The sequence below is a fragment of the Homo sapiens genome, chromosome 22 (assembly GCF_000001405.40).
Source record: "Homo sapiens chromosome 22, GRCh38.p14 Primary Assembly".
NCBI classification, from domain to species: Eukaryota; Metazoa; Chordata; class Mammalia; order Primates; family Hominidae; genus Homo; species Homo sapiens.
Window position 1 is genome coordinate 39752231 of NC_000022.11, and position 19439 is coordinate 39771669.

The 19439-nt window shown below is 37.5% G+C and overlaps 1 protein-coding gene across 7 annotated transcripts in view; it reads right to left on the reverse strand.

Moving 5' to 3' along the window:
- ENTHD1 (ENTH domain containing 1) overlaps positions 1 to 19439 on the reverse strand; it is a 150717-nt gene that overhangs the window by 9187 nt on the left and 122091 nt on the right. For 5 of the 7 annotated variants that reach the window (XM_006724150.4, XM_011529928.3, XM_011529927.3 and 2 more), the window contains one exon: positions 12993 to 13379. In XM_006724150.4, coding sequence (XP_006724213.1) covers positions 12993 to 13379 — 387 coding nt within the window. Of the gene's footprint in view, positions 1 to 12992; positions 13380 to 14822; positions 14937 to 19439 lie in introns of those variants that run through there. The other 2 variants (XM_011529930.3, XM_011529931.3) reach the window with 2 other exon arrangements.

A 19439-nucleotide genomic window follows, 5' to 3' on the forward strand; every position in this document is an offset into this window, starting at 1 on the left:
AGCAATGAAGTACTGATATATGTTACAACATGGATGAATCTTGAAAATACTAGGCTAAGTGAAATAAGTCAGACACAAAAGGCCACATATTGCATGATTCCATTTATATGAAATGTTTAGAATAGGCAAATACATAGAGACAACAAGATCTGTGGTTGATGGGAATTAGAGGGAAAGAAGAATGGGGAGTGACTGCTAATGAGTGTAGGACTTCTAGCCAGTGATGAAAGTGTTTCTGAATTAGTGGTGATGATTTCACAACTGAGAATACACTAAAAGCTACTAAATCATACATTTTAAAAGGATGCATTTTATGGTACATTAATTAGATTTCAATTTTTAAAAAGTGTAACATTTGGAAATTTAATGTCATTATAAATATGCTACATAAAATAATAGATTTAGGAAAACTCTTAATCACTTATGCTAAATTTTAATTGGGAAAATTGGATTAAAGATGAGTTTTCTCACTTACCTATAAAGTATAAGCTTTGAAAATTAAATAGGTGTGGTTTTTTGCCTGTGAAACAGCAGGCAGGAGATGTATACTACAAGAGTTGCTGGGGCTTCCTCCCTGGAGGGATGATGAAGGCTGCCTTCAACTCTACTCTGCACGGTGCTTCTAAGCCAGCCTGACCAGTAACTCAGGCTTTGCCAAGACACTTTGCAGAACTGTTTTCTACCATTTTCCTCAGTTTCTGGCTCTGAAGCCTTTTACAGACAAAAAGGAAAAGTGCATGGTTAATGGGTCTTGTGTGTGTGTGTCAAGTTTGATTTCTTTCACTTTCAAAGGTGGACTGAAAAACAGGTATCTAGAACAAGTACTAGTGAAGACCATGGTAAAAAAACAAAGCCAATTGGATAGGAAAAAAGGATGAAGGCAGTGACAATGCCTACCACTATCCAATATGAGAAAGTGTAGAATACTGAATTTTTTCCTCCAAAAGAATTAGAAAGCCAAGAACAGTGTAGCTGAACATACTTACTATAAATGTGGCTTATGAGAATATACTGAAGGCTGACTGCCACCATTTCTAGCTTCCAAGAATCTACTAGCTTCCTCCTCCTTTTCTTGTGTACATGATCAAGTATCTAATAACTTGAAAGAATAGTTTGAGCTACAGATAAATAACTTAAAATTTAAACTGAGGGGAAGAAATGAGCTGTTCCAAGAACAGAGTTATTTAGAATCAAGATCAAATGAGGTTGCAGCAGCAAATACATCCCTCTCGTTTGGTACAAATATTAAGGTGTATTAGGTGGCTGCCTTCACTTTCCTGATAGTTGAGATCCACTAAAATATGAGCATACAAGAATTTTTTAATTTTCCTAACTTGTTATCTCCGAAAAGGTTATAATGCCAGACCTGGACCCTTCATATAAACAAATACTTCTTAAAACAAAACTGGAACACAGACACTATCTTATCTATTCTCCATCACCCTGAGTGACGCCAATGTCCATGGAGACTAGCCATCCATCCTGGCCTCACTGTTTCTTGAATTCCTCACCGCAATGACCTTCAGCCATTCCTCTGAGTAGTCCCTAGAACATGTCATCACTCAGTACTGCCCTCCTCTGAAACCTGTTTTCCAAAATTACTTTTCTTCTCGCTTACTTCCAGCTCTCCCATTCTTTTTAACATATTGATACTTTGGCCTCACTGAGAGAACAGATGCAACGAAAATCCTCTTATTTTCTCCCACTCTATCAACGCCTGCCTGGCTTTGCTTCCTTTCTTAACCAGTCTAGATCCCCATTCTCCACCCCTTCAACCACTTTCTTACCACTCCCTTGCTGCCATGTATTCTGCCTTACCTGCTAACTTGTAATCCGGGGGTCAGCAAACCATTTTTGTAAAGGACCAGATAGCAAATATTTTGGGCTTTGTGGGACATATAGTCTCTGTGGCAATTATTCAACTCTGCCTGTTGCAGCACAAAAACAGCAAATTAGCATGGTTGTATTCTAATAAAACTTTATTTACCAAACAGGCAGTGAGCCAGATTTGGCCCAGAGGCTGTAGTTTGCCACCCACTGCCCTAATTCTATTTTGATTTAAATATCCACCCTTTTCATTCCTGTGCCCAGGCTGCTCAGTCCCACTGGAGAAAACCACAGGCCTCTGCACACTAGGGTGGCACCAATCACGCTCTCCCAGCATCTTGCCAGCTCCTTCTTCCATTCTCTACAGTGTCTGTTCTAAACCTAAGCGTTCTCTTCATGGTCCCTATACCACTCCACATCCCTCAGGCTTGGCAGGTGACCTCTGATGAGAAGAAACTGAGGCCATTACTCACAGTGTGTGGCACACAAAGGCTCAATACATCTTATTTATTACAAATAACAAGCAGTAACAACAAACCCTTCCCTCACATCTGACACATCCTTTTTCCTCCTTCCTTACAGGCCCTCCAGATGGGGTGAGTCTCTTTCTTTCTGGATTCTTGACTCTAGTTCACCTCTCTCAGATCGTGATCCACCTAAGGCTCCTGGCTATCTCCCTCTACCTCACCCTCTGTTGTCTAACACCTCTCACCTGGTTTTTTACAACAGCCTTTGAAGTGTTCCTCACCTCCAATTTCACCGGCCAGATCAGCATTTCACATTCCTAAAACAAGGTCATTAGCCTAGCTTAAGACCTTTACTGACCAGCACTGTCTTCAAATTAAAGTTCAAATTTCTTAACCTGGCACACATAGCTTCTATCATCTGTCTGGCTTAATTTTCCAGTGTTTTCTTCTACCGCTTCTTCATGCACATTTTCCACTTCTGCTTTACTAAGCTGCCTTTGGTTCACTTATTAAATATTGAATACTGACTATGTGCAAGCTACTGTGTTTGCTGCTGGGGATGCAATAAGAAACAGCAGACACGGTCTCTTCTCTCATGAAGATGACATTTCAGTTGGGAAGAAATATTAATATATTAAATAACTTAGCACATATGCAGTCAACTAGAATGACAGTGTGATGAGGATAATTATAGGGTACTAAGATAGCATATGGTTAGGGGGATTTGAAATACCCTAGGAGGTCAGGAAATCTTAAAGAAGTGATATTCGAGCTGACCTCTGAAGGATGAGTAGGAGTGAACCAGGGGAAGGGGTGGGCCGGGAGTGTTCTGGTCAGAGGGAACAACCGTGGTGAAGCAAGATGGTTTATCTGACAAATTGAGAAAATATCAGGCTGGTTAGAGAGGCAGAAGCTAGGCTTCCCAGGGCTTTAAGAACATGGTGATCAGTCCACTGTTTAAGTTGGGGAATACTAGTGATCAAACTACTCCAGCTGCTTGATGGAGAACTGGAGCTCCCCAGAATCTCTTTGCTTGGTTACAATTCTGCATCATTCCTTTGCTTGGAATGCCCTTTCTGGAAGGATAGGCATTTACTTGTTCCTGAGCATAAAATGAGAAACTCCTGGGTACTTTTGGAAACAACTAGAGAGGATTTTGAGGGTTAGGATGGGACTGAGGTTCTGCAGTTCTAAAGGCGGAATTAAAAATATGTACACTTGAATAATAATAGCAAATTTTACATTACACTTATCCTATCACCAGGTTCCACTCTACACACTTCGCATTTGTAAATTTATTAAATCCCCACAATATCTCAATGTGGTAGTTCCATCATTATCTTTGTTCTATAGATGAAGATACTGACCTGCAAGAGGTCAGGTGTCTTGCCTAAGGTTGCACATTTAGTGGGTGGGCTGGGATTATGATCCCAGGCAATCTCACTCCAGAGCCTGTGCTATCAGCAACTATGCTATTCATCCAAGTAGGAGCCTAGCTTGAATTTATGGTGAGGTTTAAAGGGACATTCGATTTATTCTCCGATCTCCCTCTAGGACTGGGAGCTTTGCCATCCTCTCCTATCAGGCTCATGCTGCCTCTTCTGTGGAACTAGGCAACTTTCAAATTGTGGCCCTCCGTCATGGAGCCAAGCCATGCTCTGACCAATTCTGAAATAATTTGGCCTTAATTTATCAACAGAGAAATACTGTATTTCACCCTATTAAGAATTTGTTAAATGTTGTTAAACCTATCAATGTCTCTGTCTCTCTCTCTCTCTCTCTCTCTCTCTCTCACACACACACACACACACACACGCACACACTTTTTCAGAGAGAGTCTCACTCTGTCACCCAGGATGGAGTGTAGTGGCGTGATCTGGGCTCACTGCAACCTCCGCCTCCCAGGTTCAAGTGATTCTCCTGCCTCAGCCTCCTGAGTAGCTGGGATTACAGGCATGTCACCACACCTGGCTAATTTTTGTATTTTTAGTAGACACAAGCTTTCACTATGTTGACCAGGCTGGTCTTGAACTCCTGACCTCAAGTGATCCTCCTGCCTTGGCCTCCCAAAGTGCTGAGATTACAGGCATGAGCCACAGTGCCCGGTCACACACACATATATTTTTACAAATCAATGTTAAAATATTATAGTTAAGCAATTACATAAGCAAGTTAAGTACCACAGCAATGACTGGAGGAAAATATTATTCTATTATTCAACCAATCACCTTACCTGATGTTCAAGAAATTTCAATCAGAGGGTCAATATTTCAACATTTATAAAAGCTTCTAAGTATAAAAATGATACAAAAATATATGTACAATAGAGACAATATCACACTATTTTGATTACTATAGCTTTACCGTAAGACTTGAAATTAGGTAGTAGGAGTCCTCCAACTTTGTTCTTTTGCTTTCAGGATTGTTTTGGCTATTCTAGACACTTTGTATTTCTATTTAAATGTAAGACTCAGCTTGTCAATTTCTACCAAAAAAAAAAAAAAGCCTTCTGGGACTGCATTGAATCTGCAGAGCTATTTGGAGAAAAATTACATCTTAACAATACTGAGTCTTCCAATCCATGAACACTGTGTATCTTCTCAACTTATTTAGGTCTTTAATTGCTCTCAGAAATGTTTCATAGTTTTCACTGCAGAGGTCTTACATGTCTTTTGTTAAGTATTTTGTTTTTGAAAAATGCTACTGTAAATGGTACTGTTTTAATTTCAATTTCTAATTATTTATTATTGTTGTTTGTTTTTTGAGATAGGGTCTCACTCTGTTGCTCAAGCTGGAGTCCAGTGGTGCAATCATAGCTCACTGCAGCTTTGAACTCCTGGGCTCAAGAAATCCTCCCACCTCAGCCTCCCAAGGAGCTGGGACCACAAGGTGTGCACCACCATGCCAGGCTAAATTTAAAAAAAATTAAAAATTTTCGGCCAGGTGCAGTTCGACCAGCCTGGTCAACATGGCGAAACCCCATCTCTACTAAAAATGCAAAAATTAGCTGGGCATGGTGGCACGTGCCTGTAATCCCAGCTACTCAGGAGGCTGAGGCAGGAGAATCACTTGAATCCAGGAGGTAGAGGTTGCAGTGAGCCAAGATCACCCCACTGCACTCCAGCTTGGGTGACAAAGTGAAACTCCATCTCAAAAAAAAAAATTTAAAAATTTTAAAATAGGGACAGGGTCTCCCTATGTTGTTGATATGGTTTGACTGTGTTCCCACTCAAATCTCATCTCGAATTGTATTCCCCACGTGTCAAGGGAGGGAAGTGACTGGATCATGGGGTGGTTTCCCCCATGCTGTTCTCATGATAGTGAGTGAATTCTCACGAGATCTGATGGTTTTATAAGTGTTTGACAGTTCCTCCTTCATGCACTCTCTCTCCTACCACCTTGTGAAAAAGGTGCCTGTTTCTCCTTCCACCATGATTCTAAGTTTCCTGAGGCCTCCCCAGCCATGAGGAACTGTGAGTCAACTAAACTTCTTTCCTTTATAAATTACCTAGTCTTAGTCATTGATAGCAGTGTGAAAACAGACTAATACAGTTGTCCAGGTTGGGACAATACATTTTTTATGCTAACTATGTATCCTGAAATCTTGCTAAACTCACCTACTAGGTCTAGTAGCCTGTTTGACAGACTCTTTGAGATCTTCCACACAGATAATCCTATCATCTTCGAATAAAAACATTTTATTTCTTCCTTTCCAATACATATGCCTTTTATTTATTTTTCTGGCCTAACTGCACTGCCTAAGACCTCTAATACAATGTTGAATAAAAGCGGTGACAGCAGCCATCCTTTCTTTGTTGCTGATCTGAGTGGTAATGCATTCAGTCTTTTATCATTAATTATGTCAGCAGTACATATTAGGGCTTTTTAAAAAACATTTTATTTATTTATTTATTTTGGAGATGGGTGTCTTGCTCTGTTGCCCAGGCTGGGGTGCAGTGGGGCAATCATAGCTCGCTGCAGCCTCAAACTCTTGGGCTCAAGTGACCTTCCCACCTCAGCCTCCTGAACAGCTGGGATTACAGGCGCATGCCACCATGCCTGGCTAATGTTTTAAATTTTTTGTAGAGACAGGGTCTCACTATGTTGACCACTCTGATCTTGAACTCCTGGCCTCAACTGATCCTCCTGCCTTGGCTTCCCAAAGTGCTGGGATTACAGGTGTGAGCCACCATATCTGGCCTAAAAAGTATACCCTTTAAAAATATATACCCTTTATCAGCTTGAGCGAAGTTCCCTCTTATTCATAGTTTGCTTAAATTTTTTAAAGATTGTAAATGAGTGTAGAATTTTGCCAAATGCTTTTCTGCATGAATCAAGATAATTTTATCATTTCCATCTGATTCTGTTAATATGGTAGATTACAGTTACAGATTTTCAAATGTCAAACCAACCTTATAATTCGGGGAAAAATCCCACTTGGTCATGATGTATTATTATTTTTCTATGTTGCTGGATTTGATTTGCTAATATTTTACTGAGGATTTCTACATTTGTGTAAATTTTTGAGGAATATTGGTCTATAATTTACTTTTCTTGAAATGTCTTTGTCAGATTTTGGCATTAGATTCTGCTAGCTTCATAAAATGAGTTGGGTAGTCCTTCCTTTTCTACTTTCTGAAAAAATTGGCACATGATTATCATTACTTCTTTCTTAGAATTCACTAGTAAGACTATAGGGGACTGAGGTTTTCTCTGTGATGTGTTTTTGATAATATATGTATATGTGTGTTTGTGTATATGTGTGTATCTATATGTCTTTTTTCCCCAGCTTATTTGACGAACACAAAGGTCTTCGCAGGTCAATTTTAGCCAGTTGTCTTATCCATTTCAACTAAGGCATCAAATCTATTGCCATAATGTTGTTCATAATACTCTCTCATAATCTTTTGGTAATCTATAGGTTTTTTAGTTATATACTATCTTTAATTCTTAGAATTGGTAATTTGTAATTATTTTTTTGATCAGTCTTAATAGGGATTTATAAATTTTAACCTTTTTAAAGAGCCACCTTTAATCTGTTTTTATTTCATTTATTCTTATTTTTGTTGTTTACTTCCTTTTACTGACTTTAGGTTTAATTTGTTCCTTTTTTCCAAGCATCTTAAGTTAGAACCTTCTATTACTGATTTTTAAGGCATTCTTCCTTTCTCATATAAGCATTTAAAGCTGTAATTTTCCCTCTAGCAATTTCCTACTAGTTTTAATGCATCTCACATTTTTTGATTTTCATTATCATTGTTTGAAATATTTTCTCATTTCTCTTCAGATTTCTTCTTTGACTCATAGATTATTTAGAAGCATATTGCTAAATTTCCAAATATTTGGAGTTCTTCTATGTATTTCATTGTTACCAATTTCTAATTTAATTCTGCTGTGGCCAGAGACCATACTTTTTTAAGATTTCAATCTTTTGAAATTTATTGTTACTTTTTGTTTGTTTTCATACCGCACTTTATTTCAAAATAGTTTTTGTTTTTAATGATGCAGTATGTGTTCTTTCTTGGTGAATGTTCATTTTGCACTTGAAAAAGAATGTTAAAAAAAAGAAAAATAATGTATTCTGCAGTGATTGGATGTTGTGATTTAGAGATTTGAAGTAGGGTAATGTTTTTGAATAGTTATTCATACTTTCTACATACTCATGGATTTTTATGCCTAGTTCTATCAATTGCTGAGAATAATAAAATCTCAAATTAAAACTGCAGATTTGTGTAATTTCTCCCTATAATTCTGTCAGTTTTTGCTTCATGTATTTTTGAAGTTCTTTTATTAGTTACATACACACATTTAGTTGCTGTATATCCCTCATGTTTTGGCCTATGTATCAATATGAAATGTTCTTTTTTAGTAATAATCCTTGTCTTGAAGTCAGTTTTGTCTGGTATTAATATAGCTACTCCCACTTTATTATGCTGCTTGCACAGTACATATTTTTAATTGTTTTACTTTCAATCAATTTATGTCTTTGTATTTAAAGCACTTCCCTCATAGATAGCATATAGTTGACTCTTGCTTTTCTATCCAATCTAAAGTCTCTTCCTCTTAATTGGAAAGTTTATTCCACTTCCATTTAATGTAATTATTGAAATGCTTGGATTTAGGTCTTCTATTTTGCTATCTGCCTTCTATTTGTCTGTTTTTGTCCCTCCTTTCTTCTTTTGTGTTGATCGAATATATTTTTACTATTCCATATTAATTCCTCAGTAGGACTTTGGCTATACCACTATTCTTTCTACAAGCGTAATTAAATATGCATGCTTAACTTATCGTGAGTTAATCATAGTTAATACTGTACTATTTCATGTAAAATATAGAAATCTTTCAATGGTATAATTCCATGAACTTTCCATTCTTGGTGCTATGTTGCAATATATATCTACATATGTTTTAAACCCCAAAATACAGTATTATAAGTTTTGCTTTAGTTACATGTACTTTTTAATTAGAAGAAAAATATGCATAGTATTTTATATTTATCCACATATTTATAATTTCCAGTGCTCATCATTTGTTTCTGTAGATTCAGGTAACTAGCATAATTTCTCATTAGGCTGAAAATAATCCTTCAGTGTTTCTTGTAGTATGGATTCCCCGATGATCAGTTTTTATTCACTTGAATTAAGTCCTGTTTTCATCTTCATTTTTTTGGTTCTGCTAGATATAGAATTCTGGGTTAATAGGTTTTGTCATTTAACACTTAAAAGATGACTTTTCATTGTCTCCTGGTATACACTGCTTATGATGAAAAATCAGGTGTCATTCATATTCTTGGTCCTCTGCATGTAATATGATAATTTTGCTTGCTGCTTTCAAGATTTTGTCTCTGGAATTCAGCTGTCCAACTATGATGTGTCTAGACATAGTGTTTTTTTCTTTAATTCTGTTTGAAATTCATTGGGCATTTTGGATCTGAAAGTTTATTTCTTTCACACATTTGGAGAGGTTTGAGCATTGTCTCTTCAAATGATTTTTTCTGACCCCTATGTCTTTTCCTCACCTTTTAGAACTCCAATTACATCAGTGTCAGACTGCTTGACACTGTTTCACAAGACTGAGTCTCTCTGTTTCTTTTTCTTTAATCTTTTTCTTTCCATTTTTCAGATTAGATGATTTCTATTGATCTATTTTCAAATTCACTTGCTCTTTCTTTCATTTTTAATCTTCTGCTAAGCCCTTCCAGTAAAATTTTCATTTCAATTATTTATCTTTCAGCTCCAGAACTTCCATTTAATTCCTTTTTACAGTTTTTTGCCTGCCGAGATGCTCCTTTCTATTCATTAGTTGTGAGTACTTTAAGTTCTTAAATGGATTTGTAATAGCTGCTTTTAGAATTTGTCTGCTAATTGCAACACCTGGGTCATCTAAGGGTCAGTTTCTACTGACTCTTAATATCTTCATTATGACCCATATTTTCCTATTTCTTCAAATGCCTAGTGATTTTTAAAATTTTATACTGGACATTTGGATGATACATTGTAAAGTGTCTGGATTCTGTGATACTCCTCTAAAGAGCACTGATTTTTGTTCTGGTTGGAAGATAACTTGCCTGGCCTTTTCAAACTCCAGTAAGCAAAAGCTGGTCTCATCTCAGTTCTTTTGGCTTCCAGTAGGATTTTCTTTTCTGGTCAGACTCGCTGGGGTCCCCCTATACGTATAGTTTAGTGGTCGGTCAAGAATTTGGGAAGAGTTTATACACAAATAATGAGGTTTGCCCCTTCTCAGTCTCCTCTTTTAGGTTTTCATTGATAACTTTCCAGCTTCCCTGCCAGAACTGAACTCTCTTTTGACACTCCAGGCTATGAGGACTGAAGAGTACCCTCAGAATCTTAATTTCAGCTACTGTATTTTTCAGCTCTACAATTTTCATTTGATTTTTTTTTTTTTGACACAGGATCTCACTGTGTCACCCAGGCTCTCACTGTGTCACCCAGGCTCTCACTGTGTCACCCAGGCTAAAGCGCAGTGGCATGATAATGGCTCCCTGTAGCCTCAACCTCTTGGGCTCAAGTGATCCTCCTGCCTCAGCTTCCAGGGTAGCTAGGACTACAGGCACATGCTACCACATCTGGCTAATATGTATATTTTTTGTAGAGATGGGGTCTCCCTATGTTGCCCAGGCTTATCTTGAACTCCTAGCCTCAAAGCATTCTCCCTGCCTTAGCCTCCCAAAGTGCTGGGATTACAGGCACAAGTCACTGTACCAGGTCCATTTGATTTTTAAAATAGATACTAGTATTCTGATGAAATTCTTCATCTTTCCTGTCTTCTTGATCATATTAATATTAATCATAGTTTTAAATTACCTATCTTATACATTCAGAATCTAGATTACTGTGGATCTGTTTCTGTTGTCTACTTTTCTCCTATATTTCTGGCCGTTTTTTCATATCCTAGTATGCTTGGTAACTTTTTGTTGAAAGTCAAAATTTTCAATGAAAAATTTTAAGAGCTCTCTGGAAAGGATTGAATTGTCTTCTGGAAGGCAGATGGAATACAAGTCAATCACTTTGCTCTAGGTGAAATAGGTTTTATTAATAGTATTTGTGAGGGCTGCTCAACTTCTCATTTGTCCTTACTCCTAGAGTATAGTCCTGAGGCCTAGGGTGTAGGCTATCAGGGGTCCCAGTGGAAAGCCTGGAGTGTTTCCCATGGCTCCTCCCATTTGCTATATCCTGAACTCCAACATTTGTTTCCTTGTATCATCAGAATCATCAGAATCTCTGCATAGCTCACTGGCCTCTTAGAAGCTGCTTCCCATTTAGTTTCTTGGCATCTCATCCTGAACGCATGTAGCTTAGCAGTAGGCAAATGTTTTGAAATGACAAAAAGGTTTTAGGATTTCTTCTCTGTGATTCCCTCCCTCTGGAATACAGGCCCTTCAAGTCCCTGACACCTTGAAAGCTCAAACTCCTACCGTGTCTCCCAAGCTCAGTGAGACTGCGGAAAGCCTACGCCTCTGATTTTTCTTCAGCTTCTATTATCTTGCTCTGAGAATTGGCAAATGACTCAAGGTGGGGAAACTAAGGTGACTGAGGGACTCATCTCAATTTCCTTCCCCCTGGGATCTTAACCTATTATGTATTTTCTACTTGGTTGTTTGATGATGACTTCAAACCAGCTTTTAATAATTTCCTAGATTTAATAATTATTTTTGGTAGTAGAATTAGATCAATACTATCTATTATAAGCAGACAAAAAAGTTCTCCTTGTTAACCAGTTTTAGAGGAACTTCTCGCTAAATTTTAAGTGTACTTGGTACACTCACAGCGACCAAAAAGTATTTTCAATGATCTTTTTGTGGTATTCATGAAATAAAAAAACCAAACGTATCAACTTCCCAGCGACAGCCAGGCACATAATCCATCAGAGCCATCATAACCAGTACTAACAGGTTTCCACATCAGCAGTCTCAGAAGAAAAGTTAATTGGTTGACAAAACTGAGAATCAGTTTTACTACCTTTAGGCTATTCAGTATCAAAAAAGTCTTGAAAGAGCACCAAGGAAAATCTTTTGTTACTCATTGACCTTACTAATACCAATATAAATTTCTTTAACTTCAACATGGTGGCTTCCATTGTTTATATTTATATGTACTTTTGATCTGGGTTTGAGTCTGTTTAAAAGATTCACGTTAAAATCTTTATTGGCCAGACACAGTGGATCATGCCTGTGATCCCAGAGCTTTGGGAGGCTGAGGCAGGAGGATCACTTGAGGCCAGGAGTTCAAGACCAACCTGGGCAACATAGCAAGACCCCACCTCCACACACACAAAAATAAAATTAGCCAGGAGTGGTGGCATGCACCTGTAGTCGTAGCTATTTGGAAGGCTGAGGGGTGGAAGGATTGCTTGAGCCCAGGAGTTTGAAGCTGCAGTGAGCTATGATTGCACTGATTGCAACAGAACAAGACCCTGTCTCTAATAAAAATAAATACATTTAAAAAGCTTTATATTTATATGAGTTGGTTAGCACTATTATATGTAAGAACCAATAAAACTACTACTTAGTCTTTGAAAAATTCATAAAAATTATTATTTTACTAGTAAACTTTAAAGTAGAAAGCATAATTATATAATAGAGGATTTAGTAACTGAGAGCCAATAACCTGAAATCTCAACTGGCTTTATCCTTTATTACCCAGTCTAAACAATACTGCAATCTTCTTAAGGTTTTTTATATCTTTATAATATAAAATATATATAATATAAAAAAGACAAGATCCCCTGCCCCTTTTGTGCAATCAGTACACAGCCCTTTTTAAAGGGGCACACATACACCCGTGTGTATGTGGGGGTGTGTGTATACACCAATACACATAATAACCAATTCTTTTTCATATAATCTCTTAATAAGTAACCTACATGTCTAACAGAAAGCACTTACTTCACACTAGTTCCTTCTAATTTGGTCTGCACCAAAATTGCTCAGATCTTATATTCAACCAAGGACTCAGAACCCACGGTGATGAATTATCTATTAGCCCTTTAATAAAAGGGGGACTTTCCCAACTAAGAAGTATGTGTATGGCATGTACATTTTAATATCAATGATGAAGAGTGAAAGGAGGGAACAAAAAAAGGAGACAGAAAGCAGAGAAAAGTAAAATAATGCTTCAAAAGAGGTTTTTTGTTGTGTGTGTGTGTGTGTGTGTGTGTGTGTGTGTTTGGCAGACTCACCCCGTGTGGTTGTCTTGAGGATTTTATCATCCATCTGAATGCTGGATTGTGCTGGTTTCTGGTAGGCCTTGTTGATTACAATCTCCTTCACTCGGTCAAATATTTTGAATGAGGGAGAGAGACAGAGTGTTTCTACAGAGGCCTGGTTATGGAAAGTAGAATCTGACTTTGATACCCTTAAGTCGGGGCTGATAAACTCCTCTTTACTTGACCAACATGCTGGTAAAATTGTCAATGTTTTAAGACCTTCTGCAGCTGATTGCTTTTCTAAAGGTGTTTCCAAGAGGTTTTCTGTGACAGTATTTGTAAAGATACCATCTGATCTCTTGTCCAAACTCACATCTCTCTGCCCAGAAGGACTATTTTCTGAGAGAGTAGGCACAGCATCTATAAAAGAACAAATAAGAGCTATAATCAAAAAATAAAACTGAAAATACTCTATTTCAAATCTGTTATAATTTTAATAAATAGGATTTTTTAATGTCATAACAGAATTCTTTCCTATTTAGCCCTCTGCTTTCTTACTATGCTTCTATATTCTGCCTATTTAAAGTACACCCAAGCTATAATTGACGCCTTAGTCATTTTGGTAGCTGCCTTCTCCCTCTCTCCTCACTGAAGCACAAAGCAAGGAAAGCTTCAAATAACTTGTCTTTAAATATTTCTCCCTTCACCCACTTATCTGTCGCTGAAACCACCATATTTTTAGTACTTTCCAACTTTCATCTTTTTTACAAGATAAACTAGGGAAAATATGCCACATCATACTGGTCTATCCTTACAGAACCCTCAGCTACAAAAAAAAAAAAAAAAAAAAAAAAAAAAAAGAAAGAAAAAGAAAAGCTTTCTCCCCAAAAATAAAGAATGTCTTCTTCCACACAGTTTCTATATGCAAGGCACATTAAAGAAACTCAGTACTTTAGGTAGAAGCTTAATTTTAATAAATGCTTTGTCTATACGGAAGAAAGGAAACAATCTTTCAGAGCTGTTCTGACAATTAGTAAAATATAAGTTCCACTGGGCTGGAGATCTTTGTCCATTCTAGTGGTTAATATCACCAAAGTACATAAAATAGTCCCTAGAATATAACAAACAATATTTATTACAAATAGAAAACACTGAAGGAATTGTAAGAAACTGAAACTGAAGGTGGGCCTGATCCAGGAATGTCTATTGAATCTACGCATTATAGACCTGGTCCGAGTTTCTAGATGCAAATTCTTAGGAACACCCTCAGCGCCAGGGCTTGCTCTGTAACAGCTCCATCTGAACCGGGATACGAAAAGAAAGACCGTTATTTTTATGAGGTTGTGTTCATGAAACGAGAAGCATGATGAGGTAGAAGAGGGCCAAAGGAAGAGGCTATCTTTCGAAGCTCCCAAAAGAGGACGCAGAAATTGTGTGATTCACTATTGAGTGATTATACATCACAATGTATGTCATAAAATACTTCAGAATGCACATTTACATGCTATCCTCATCACTTTTGGGCTCTGAGTTATTAAAGAAAAGAAACTTTTCTTTGTCTCTATAAAGCTTCCTTTTCATTTTCATCTGCAGTTGGAGGTTAGCCTTAGCAAAAATACTGCTGGTATGTACCACAGAATTAAGACAGTTCAAGAAACTTACATTGCTATCTTCACCAGAAATTCCATTTTTCTTCCATCCTCTCATCTTTTAAAACTCAATTCAAGTATCACTTTCTCTTTAAAGCTTGCCCTGACCCTTTTCTTTCCTCACCCTATCCTATTATTGTCTATCTTCACATGTCCTGTTTGAAGCTCTGTGAGTAATTATAACACTTCATATCTCATTTATCTTGTCCCCTACCTGACAAAAGTCTCCTTGAGGAGACCTTGCAAGGAGTCATCTTCGTGTCTCAGCACCTAACAGTGCCATTCCCAGAGGACAGGTTCAATGAATGCTCATTGGGTGCAAGGGAAACTGAAGCACAAAGATGAAAGAAAAAGTAACGCCTTCATTTTTCTAAACTGAATATAGTTTAACTGCTTAATAATGATTAAAGGAAATAGGTAGATGAAAAGAACCTCTCCTAAAATATTCCTAATTTGCATATGACTGAATTATATTTAGATGATTGAAAGTCTGTTAAAAATACCAAATATAAGCCAGGCGCAGTGCCTGTAGTCCCAGCTACTGGGAGGCTGAGGTGGGAAAATCACTTGAGCCCAGGAGTTTGAGACCAGCCTGGGCAACATTGTGAGACCCCATTTCTATGAAAAACAAAACAAAACAAAACAAAACACCCAAACGAATATATTCCTAGTTGAGTACTAGATTACTAGATTTATGGTATTTCAAAGTGACTTTGCATATCACCACATTTACATCAAATCATTCATTAAAAGTGAATTTTAGTTAAATATTTTTCCATTGACTTTCATTTTACATGTGAGAAAAACAAGACAAAAATGTTTTGCTCTATATGTAATAAGATCATCTTAAAATTTAGCAATATTAAACTAGGACATTTCAGAATGACCAGAACTTTCTGATGAAAATATTCACAATACTTAATCTAAATCTCAAAATTCAGATGCATAAAGTTGTCTGTATGGCTGCCATTTTAAGGTTTAGTAAAAAAGTTTAAAATGAAACAAATGAACAAATCCTTAAAATTCAATGAAGCAAACCAGACAGAAGTCATTCCATTTCTACCCACCCCCTTTCCCAATAGCCCGGGAAGAATAGGCTGCAATCTTTTGGTTGCTTGGACTTTTGCTAAAGTTGCTAACTTTTTAAATGAATCAAATACTATGACCTAGAAGAAGCCAAATGAAAAATAATGATTTGAAATGGATAGTACATTATTTCAAAGAGAAAAATGTTTACTTATACAGAAAGCTAAAGAGTCTTGAAGATTCTAGAAAGCAAGTTGTACCAGGTTTCTCTTCCATCAGCCTTCATCCACCCCTGCTGTCTATGCAATGCGTCAAATTATTCCTCTCCAATTCAATTACTACTTTATAGTTTATATTTGAAAATCCTTCAAAAATTGCCTCTTGTGTCAGTGAGAAAGTCCAAATTCCTTGGGTTTCAAAGGCCCTTCATTGCTTACTTTCTGTTGCTATTCAACAGGAAACAAACCCTCAGTCAGGCCATTCTCCCTGTCACTCCACACGCCATGAGCATTTAGGTCCATTTAGCTTCATTCTCCATGTTAACACAGGGCTCTTGACCATCACCACTGATTCCCCATCCTGGAATACCCTCTTCTTCTCCACCTGTTTAAATCCTATTAAACCCTACTATTCCTCAAATAACTACTACTTCTAGAAGCTATTTCCAATCATGTCTACCACTCTATCTTAATCTCTCCCTTCTCTGAGGTAATATTTCTATAAACTCATTTTTCACTTAATTATATGCTATTTAGTGCCTATCACATATCATATTAAGTTCCTGCATTCTGACTTTATAACTGCATCATGCTTTTGCATATAGGAGGTGTCAAATGTTTGTTAAATTTAACTATATCTTAATTTATAAATTATTTAATATCAACTTTATATGTTGATTTTCTGTATAACAATGTATATTGTATTTGACGCCTAAAAATAGGAATGGTCCATCAAGAAATCATTGTTAGTACCCACTGTTTGTACTGAACTGTATTAAATGCAGGAGATATGCACAAGCAGAAGTCACAATTCCTACTGTCGATGAACTAATGCCAATGAACGATGAATTCCTATTGTCAATAAACAAAGTATGGATTATGTATATATAGATAGATACATATACACACACTAACTTGTGTATATGTACATATATACACACTAACTTGTGTATATGTACATATATACACACACTAACTTGTGTATATGTACATATATACACACACAAACTTGTGTATATGTACACATATACACACCGGTGTATGTACAATAAACACATAAAAATTAATAATGTAAGTTACCAGTTCGATTTCACAGTGTCTAGAAAATTGTAGCCTCCCAATAAATGAATGAACATGAATATATTTGCTCAGCAACAATTTGAACATGTTTTAGTTTGGATACCCCAAAAGGCAGACTTGGATGCAAGTAATTTGGCCAGTGATTTAAAGAAGCACAAACGAGGGACCGGGAAATTTAAAACAAAGAAGGGACAAAAGTCAATAAAGAGTATATGAACAAGCAATTTACTGTTGTGGGAAAATGAGAGCCACTCCTGTTGGGTTGCCTCAGAACTGTCCTCCCAGGGATGAGAAGGTGGAATATTTTTTCAATAACTCTTAACTATCACTGGTTGAGGGTTGACTCTGGGCATTAAATCCCTGCAACTTCCAGGCTACCCTGCACTTAGGATGAACAAGTCTAAGGGCTCTGGAGAAAGCTCCGGGGTGGAGAAGAAGAGAGATACAGGTACTTTCAGTGTAAATGGAACTGGTCACCAAGGCTGCAGTAGTACTCAGAGGAAGGCCAAGAGAGTATGGGGTGGAGCATCAACAGTACCATCTACAAGATATAATCACTCCCCCTCCTTTCTCAAAACCCATTGAAATGACAGAAGTGGAATAAAAAGGCACCAACCAGAGGGGAAATAGAACAGAAGAGACAACAAAAGATAAGAAATGTCAACAAATTTTGTGAAAAGGAAAAGTTTGTGGAGGAGTAGAAGCAGCAAAACCTAAATGCCTGTAGAGGGGAAAGCCAATGTGATGGAAACTGATTCTCACAACATAACTCCAGAAAGTTTTAGGAATTGGGGACTGGGTATCTTAGAGGTCTGAGAACTTTGTGGCTTTGTTTTGGGGACAGCATCTTCATTCAAAGATAGTTGTATCTTGTTAGGTAGACAAAGAGGGTTGTTGTTGTTGCTCGGAAAGTTAAATATGTGTAGAATGTGTATGATGCTGAGTAGGCAATGGATGGGCTGTGGCAGCTACTGAGCTGCTGTGTCAGCTTCATACTCACACCCTTCTATACTCTTGCTTTGTGATACTGGAGCTGTGACACCACATACCGTGTTCATACTTTGCCAGTTAGCTTTTTGTTAGGTGCTGCCAACAAGAGGTGCTAGAGGGAGATGGGAAGGTTAGAGTAGGAAGAGAGGACTTGCTCCTTCCTGTTTGTCCTCTGCTCCTGACTGCAACACCCTTGCAACGCTTCTCCACTCCATCGGTGGAGAAGATAGAAAGAATGCGTTCTTGCCAGTTTGCATTTTTCCAACACTTGTAGAAGCAACCTTATCATACTCTCTTAACATTAGCACCCGCCAACAAGCACCCCATCCTAAGAGGCCTGGGTCACCACCCCACAGAGCCCCTTCTTCAAGCTTCTAAATTTGAATAACTCCTCCAGCGTTAGGGCTGGTGACTTATCCCTGCAGTTGCTACCTTGATCATACCATGGGTATGTGTATGATAAACACATAAAAATAACTAATAATATAAGTTACCAGTTTGATTTCACAGTGTCTAGAAAATTGTAGCTTCCCAATAAGTGAATGAACATGAATATATTTGCTCAGCAACAATTTGAACATGTTTTAGTTTGGATACCCCAAAAGGCAGACTTGGATGCAAGTAATTTGCCTGTACCCATGATATCCTTGGATGCAAGTAAATCAGCCTGTACCCATGATATCCTGGTACAGGCTGAGTGTCCCATATCTGAATTGCTTGGGACCAGAATTGTTTTAGATTTTGGACTTTTTCAGACTTTGGAATATTTGCATTATACTACCAGCTGATCATCCCTAATCTGAAAATCCCAAATCTGAAATGCTCCAACTAGCACTTCTTTGAGCATGATGTTTGAGCATCACGTAGTGCTAAACAATTTTTGGATTTTGGAGCATTTTGGATTTTCAGATTAGGTGTGCTTAAGCTGTACTCTTTTTTTTTGCCCTTTCAGTTTTTAATACTTAATGTTTTTGTATTAAATTCTGTGTATTGTATCATATTTTTGTGATAATGGCAGAGTAGTTTCAAGTGGACCAACTCCTCTGTAGATAACAGCCAGAAAATTAAAAAATGTAAAGAAACCAATAACCTGAAGGCATAGGAGGGGGACCAAAAATAGGCAGAAACTGGAGAGGGAGAAGAGTTAGAAGGCGGAGAACGCTGGGGAAGTTTGCTGTTTTTCCAACTTGCTACCCTGAATCCAGCCAGCTCTACAGTAATTGGCTAAAAGTGGGCTGAAACCACAGTCTTAACTGGCCTGAAGAACCAGAAAACAAGATTCAGAGCTACCACAGCACTGGAAAGGGGAGAAATCTGGTTAAAAAACAAAACAAAACAAAACAAACAAACAAAAAAACTCAGAGAAAACCATACCTGTTATCATCATAGTCAAATTGCTGATAATCAAACATAAAAATGAAAATCTTGAAAGTACCCAGAGAAAGATGACCCATTCTATATAAGGGAAGAATGAGATGAATGATGACTGACTTCTCATCAGAAACAACAGAGGCTAG